The sequence below is a fragment of the Homo sapiens genome, chromosome 14 (genome assembly GCF_000001405.40).
Source record: "Homo sapiens chromosome 14, GRCh38.p14 Primary Assembly".
NCBI classification, from domain to species: domain Eukaryota; kingdom Metazoa; phylum Chordata; class Mammalia; order Primates; family Hominidae; genus Homo; species Homo sapiens.
In genome coordinates this window covers 29,453,497-29,460,872 of record NC_000014.9, presented here as the reverse complement: position 1 = coordinate 29,460,872, position 7,376 = coordinate 29,453,497, and the positions used below count along the sequence as shown (strand labels likewise).

The 7,376-nt window shown below is 32.9% G+C and overlaps 2 annotated features.

The window, feature by feature from the left end:
• Positions 1,261-2,595: an enhancer, noted in NCBI's record as "VISTA enhancer hs598". NCBI's record gives its function as "enhancer in: neural tube[4/4]" and the evidence as "EXISTENCE:transgenic organism evidence [ECO:0001131][PMID:17130149]".
• Positions 6,046-6,602: an enhancer, noted in NCBI's record as "OCT4-NANOG hESC enhancer chr14:29923477-29924033 (GRCh37/hg19 assembly coordinates)". NCBI's record gives its function as "activates a minimal SCP1, AML or CMV promoter by ChIP-STARR-seq in primed H9 embryonic stem cells {active_cell/tissue: H9 hESC(primed)}" and the evidence as "EXISTENCE:reporter gene assay evidence [ECO:0000049][PMID:30033119]".

Here is a 7,376-nt window from a genome sequence, read left to right as displayed (position 1 = left end):
CTAAGAATTCAGCAACATTTGGCTATTGGGGATGTCTGGAACGTAGGACTATGTATAAAATCTATGTTCAGACGTTATAAGTTATATCATAATAAAAGTCCAGAAGTGTAATGAGGTGGATGTGTACAAAAGGGGCTTCAAGTAGTGTCTGCAACCCAGTGGCCATTAAATTCTGATATAATTTTGGCCCTAAATAGTGTCTATTTTTTTAATTGCGAATACAGTGAATTCACCATTTCTTTGTGGTTTGATATTCAGAAGAAAAAAGCAAAACCAAGCCCAACAAGGCCAATATCATTGCTATTGAGGCGATATTTTAATGTATTCTTTTATTGTGTGAATACTTTTTTGAAAGTACACAGATCTTAAATATCATAGCTAGAAAGTTGATATGGCTTAGATTTCAGATGATAAACACTACCACACGGTGTCATATTAAAATGTAAAAACTATGTATGCACGCCACAGCCTCTGCCTGCTATGAGTTTGGTTGTACGAATGTTTTTTTGACTTCTAAATCACACATTTGCTAAAATGAGCTCTGGTAGATATCAGTTTGCGCACAGGCACAATGTGTCTCAGTCAGATTCATAAAACAGAGAGCTGAACTATACTTTGACTTTTGACATCAACAATCTGACTTCAATATTTCTCCACAAAAAGAGACTCCTGACTCTGTGCTGTTTCAATGTGATGGATAGCTTTTCAGCTGCTGACAGCACTGAACATAATAAATGTATTCATCAGCATCAGGGGCTGCATATCCCCATGTCTTAAGTTTTATAGCTAGTGGTTTTTGAAATGCCACCCAGAAACACCTGCAGCACTGCCTTGTTTCTGCAGAACTGCAAAGCCACTGTGAAAAAATATTATTGTAAAGTTGTCTGTATATCAGCATTTCTGTGCTAAACAACCTTTTAATTGCCTACCCTCTAATTTTTCTTTGCCTTGAAACACTTGCAGACACATATTTTAATTTAAGCCGCTCTGTTTGACTCCTCTGATCATCTGGGTTTTCATTGTCGTTGCTTCACAATAATTTAATGTCATATATAATGGCATCAAATTGGGGAAAGCCCTAAAAGCTGCCAATCCAAAGTGATCTGAATGTTCCCGAGTACAAGTCTAGATAAGCTTGACTTGTTTGTGCCAACATTATTCATCACATTCTGTGTCTAACTGGGCCAGTGTTCTCTTGCTATTGCATTTTTAAATCCTCTTTCAACATACTCTGAAGCTCCTTAATCAGTGTGTTTTCTATGCTACAGTTAACAAAATGGTTGCAAGTATACGTATGCACTAAAAATAAAAGAAAGAGTATTATGACGATGCTTCCTACACTACTATCTAAACGTTTTACCATATTGTTCTTTAACTTGGTTCTTGTTTAACAAATCGCATTTTGTTTGCCGCTAGAAGAGAAGAGTTGGACCACATGTGCAATTCCACATTGGTTTTAGATTTTAATTTAATAATATTACAGAGAGCTAACTACTATTAATGAAAACTTATTTGTGAGGCTACTCCAAAGTTGATCATATATGTCTTCTTGGGAGGAGAAGAGTTTTATTTTATAGCTAATTAAAAGTTTCTAAAGATGCTGTGGATTTTTTTGTGCAAATTAAAATTAATTAGAGTTATTAAGGAGCCATGAAAAGAAGGATTTGAGAAATAGTGAGAAATATTATTTAAACCCTAATGGAATTCAGTGAAACCCACAGGTCTATTACAGGCCCCTGATTTGCCAGGATCACTGCAGGGAATCTAACATTAATAAGCACACTGGTAATTAAATCATTTGTTACTTTGTCTGTAATGTTGTAATGTTTCACTGATACTCTGTCAGAGCTCTTTGTGCAGATCAGAGCTAATCAAAGGTAATCAATTTTCAGCATTTGAGAAATCTGTAAATGATTATACATTCATCAGATCATTTAGTGGAGTGCAAGGAAAGTGCAATGCAATTAATCTTCCTGCATGAGGAGGAATTACCACCACAGAATTCAACAGTTATAATTAATTTCATTGTCTTGCTGTGAATTTTGATTGCTTTTCTTTGGACTGTATAGTACAAATGATGATTCATTGCAAAGTATTTGCAAAGCAAACACACCAGTGTGCTATGCAAATTAAAGTAGCTGTATAACAGATAGGTTTCAAACTTCCTATTTACTCAGGGTTGTTGAGTACTAATTTGGCAAATAATAATTGCTTGTTAACTTTATACACTCTTCCCTTGAATATCAAGATTGGTAACCAATATAAATAGAAAGCACGTGCTATTTTGTATCTTATGGTATGTATGCAAAATACTAGTTAGCACTTAAACTTGTTCGCTTTACCAAATAATTTAGGCATTAAAAATGGTTATTTACTTCTGAAATCATTTGCTATTTATTTAACTTAAACAAAATAGCAGGAATAGATTATGCATAGAAGTGGGTGTTGCTTTTCCCATTAATTGTAACTAGAAATGTTTAAGAGACTTTCACTTGAGACATTTGATTTTTAGAATCTATTTGTAATATAGAATGTTGCTATTTAACAGAAATATGTAATTTTGGTACATAGCAGGGTGTTGCTAAAACACTCTTCATCATTTACAGATTTCCTACATAATCTCCTTCAGTTTCCCAATATTCTGTACATTTAAAAATATGCTTGTGGAAACAAATACCAATTCAGAAGTGATCTAAAAAGTTCATCTCTTATTTTGTGATAAATAAAATATATATATTTTTTGAGACAGTGTTTCACTCTTGTCAACCCAGGATGGAGTGCAATGGCGTGATCTTGGCTCACTGCAACCTCCCCCTCCCGAGTTTAAGCGATTCTCCTGCCTCAGCCTCCCAAGTAGCTGGGAGTACAGGCGCCTGCCACCACGCCTGGCTAATTTTTGTATTTTTGGTAGAGACGGGGTTTCACTATGTTGGCCAGGCTTGTCTTGAACTCCTGACCTCAAGTGATCCACCCACTTCGGCCTCCCAAAGTGCTGGGATTACAGGCATGAGCCACCGCACCCGGCCAATAAAATGATTTTTTAAATGAAGTGAACGTTAATGATAAACAATAACAATGTACATAACTTTAATGTTAACTGTTTGTGAAATGACTCCAATTCCTGTAATAATTAAAATGTGAATCATGATTGTTTTTCTTTAAATCACTTTGTGAGATCCAAGTCTCTAGTGTTTTTCCCTAAATTAAACTTATCTAAGTGTTAAAATCAGCTTCAATCCTTTACATACATATACATCCAAAAATATGAAGCCTCACTTTAATATTTCTTAATCAAGAATTTGAACTATGTACTTGAATGTCAATTGAAAACCAATATAAGATGTTATATTTTCCTCAGATATGTTCTGTGTGTGATGTTACTTTTGTAACATCTTTGTTGATTGAACTTTGAGGAATAAGTAACTTTTTTCACATGTTAATTTTTAAACCTGTGAATTAGTTTAGGTTAGTTCAGTTACCTGCTAAAATCAGGAGTACTATAAGTCTTTTCTGTTCTGAAAAACAGAAACAAGAACAAAAACCTGAACAAAACTCTAATGGGTTAACTGACTAAATTAACACATTCCAAATCATGTGAAATTGAAAAGTCAAGATATCATCATTTAAAATTCATGGTAAGGTAAATAATACAAGATGTAGACTAAAATAATGCAAACTTAATGGTAAATTGATACTTTTTTTTCTGAGAGAATAAATTAAGCTGTCTGGAAATCCAAATAAATATTCAAATAATAAATGAGGCCCCAAACCACTATTTTGCTGTCAAAATCCATAGAGCAACCATGGGAAAACTCTTTATGGCATCAAATCTGTCATATGCTTTAAAACCTTTGTCTATTGTTTTTGCAATGAATGCAATGAATGCTTCATTTAAGATTTTGATAAAAGACAAATATTAAGATAAATAATATACAGGTATACTGTATAAAATTTTCCTATTTCTTAACCATAAATGTATTTATATTATCTCTTTTTTATAGGATTTTAAAAACATTTATTCAAGTTACTTCATTTTAATCTTTGCTCATATTTTTCTTTTAATGATTTTCCATTGTTGCCAGCATCGTAGCAATCCTGTTTTATAATTCTTTCCAGTTTTCATGTTTGATACACCATGCTGATTTTTGGTATTGAAGTTGGTTCAAGCAATATTATGTGTTAAATATAGTTCAACTAATTTAAAATTATTGAACTATATTTAAAATTATTTCTGCCAGGTTCAGAAAATTTACTTAAGGAAAACTAGTCTTTTCAATTGATGCATTCCCTAATTTATTCAAGGTTGGATCAGCAGGTACTAACTCACTTGATCATTTTGACTAAGTTTGCCAGTCAAATCATCAGAAAAATATAGTTAATAGAATAGAGATATAAACACAAGATAAACCAAAGACGGAAAAAGAATAAAATGCATAATATAGAATGTTTTCTATGAGGATCATGGGCTTTTGAGTGAAAAAGACTTGGTTTATATCCTGGGTCAACTTCTTTCAGGTGGTGTGACCATGTGAAATTTTCCTCACATAAACTTTCTACGTTTTGTTCATAAAATGAGACTAGTACTCTGTTTTGCAGAAAGTTATTGTATTGGAAATGCGTGTGAAACAGTCTGGCACATAGTAGGTGCTCAAAGAGTGAAAGCTGTTATTATGACCCACAGAATGAAGAAAAGACATGTGTTAGGTGATGGTGGCAATACAGGAAGAGACAGCCATAACTTTGGGCTTTTGTAGGAATGTAAAACAAATTTTTCCAACATATTGGCCTGTTTGTTACAAAAATCAGACAATGAAAAATATACTGTTATTGATTAAAGAATTTGAAACACATGGTTCAGGTTGGGGATATAGATGTTATGAAGTTCTTCAGTAATTGTTTCTGAAAAGGTTTTCTTTTATTTTTAATTAATATGCTTGAATTACTTCAATAATCTATTCCTGCATGTCCCTCAACTTACATCTCTTACATATCTACTTTTAAAAAAGTTTCTATAGGGCTCCTGAATTATGACCTCCTTTTTCATTTCCATTGTAAGAGAAAAGTTTGAAATGGCAAAAATATTTTGATAATTTCTACTAGCTTGTCTCAGCATTATTTTTAAAGTAATAATAATTAACAAGCTTATTTATTAGATTTATCTTCAATTTAGCTAAGCAATTATTTTCTAGGTAGGATTGTAGAATCCAAGACATTCAGAAACTTTTAGTTTACCACAAGTCAATTTGAAAAACTGAGTCAAGGGTCAATATTAAAGTATCAAAATGCAACATAAATATTTTTTAAAGTAAATATATCTCTGGAAAGATAAATTTTCATAGTATAATTTTTCCACAATTCTTGGCTGGCTCTTTTCTAAATCTCCTATTAAGTATAAATCAAAATATTTTGTAAGTAAAAAATAAAGTCAGGGCTAGCTTTATAAGATTGGAAAAACATGTTTTATTTTTATTTTAGTAACCACAAATTCAGGACATGTTCCTTATATAACATTTAATTAATCATTTGATGAAACTTGATATTTCACCTAGTGTACATTTTAAGGAAACTTTTTATAACTCAGTAAATATATTTATTAACTAAATATGATTGTTGAATATATGTTTCTGCTGGTGATGTCCATAATCCGTCTACTAAGTACCAACACTGTTTTCTCTTTTCCTTTTCTCAACATTCAGAAATTCTAAATTTATTTCATTGGACATCCAAGTGGCCTTGAGAAATTCCCAACTATAATAATGAATGAAATGCAACTGGTGAATGAGCCATATATAATGTTGACAGATTTTACAAGTGTTGTTCTGTTATTTTAAAGCAGCAGTCTTTGAAATTTTCCTTTAATGTAAGATGGAGAGCAATATAAATAATACATCTGACTGAAAGGACATGAAAATAAGAAAAAAAAACCTGATAGGGTCTTGCAATATCATAATTTATGTGAAACATGTAAAAAAATGCATACATAGCACCTTTCCTGTCTGGCTTCAACTGCATTCATTTGTTGTCAAAACAGGTTTCCATATTTAACTTCTTTTTTTGATTATGCCTTTTCCTTTATTTCATGGAATGATATGTTATTATCTCTGAAGTGTAGATTTCTGCCAAGTTCTATGCACTTCAGTGTTAAGAGTATGGCCCACGACTCTGGGAATCTTTGTTGAAGCTGTAGAAATAAAATGAATAGTATCAAAGCTTGATGGCATCTGTGGATAGGAAACTCATTAAAGGCCCCAGCCCTCTGTTTTATTTCTAACCACATTTTCCCTGTGGGATTTCAATGTCTTGCAGGATGAAACCAGCAGGACTCATTACTTACAAAACAATGTTTAGAGTCCTTTCGTGGTGCTGGAATGCTTCTGCCAGTCAGGTAAAGAACCTAGGCCTTTATCCTTTTGGGGACAATGCCGGCCAGCTCACAAACTGCTTGGAAAAGTCATGCCTTTGAATGTAACTGCAGGTGTTGCTCCCCAAAGGCTGTTGGTTGGTACCCTCCTATGCAATGTACAATGGGATAATAGAAAATTCACTTTGGAATTCAAACAAAGTCTTAGAGAAATGGAAATAATAGGAACACAATTTTGAGACTTCCTTAGTTTTTCCCACGAACTATGGACCATGACTAATACCCTCGGGGCAAAAAACATCCCTTTGCCTTTAAGGGATGTATACAGTTCAGTGTTTCAGATAAGTAAGTTTCATGACTTCATCAATTTTGTGGCTTCTATTCATTTACTAGAAAATAAATTTAAGCAAGAGAAGAAAGCCATGTTATGGGATAGAACTTTAAGACACCAAATCTAAAAAAAGGTCAATGCATTTGAATATAAAGTACAAAATATAGCTTTTTTTTCCTCCTAAAAGAAATCATTGCTTTAACTAGATTCACTAAATCAAATTAGTATAGCTCTGAGTGAATTGCCTGTCTCTCTTTGGCAATGTGGCCAGTGGCATTTTGGAAATATTCTTAGAACTTGTAAAATTCCTGCAAGAATAATAAGGACCTTGCCATTGTGGAATCAAAGAGATTCAATCACTTAAAGTAGTACTATAGGCTTGTCAAGTGGAATTGCTTTAACAGATTTGCTGAATAACTCATCCATAATGGCTGAAAATTTCAGCCATTTTGTTAAAACATCCAAGGCAGGAGAGATTAGTGCACACTATAGAATAGCATATGTATAATCACGAAGAAATTTAGACCACGTCTGCACTGTGAAGTACCATTTAAACATCCCAAGCTCTAGTCATTGCATTATGGAAAACAATGTGAGCTATCTAAAAAAATGAAGTGTGGTTTGTCCTTTGCTAGCTGATGAGACTTCAATAGCATTTAGGCTTGGTAAAATGTATTTCTAAAC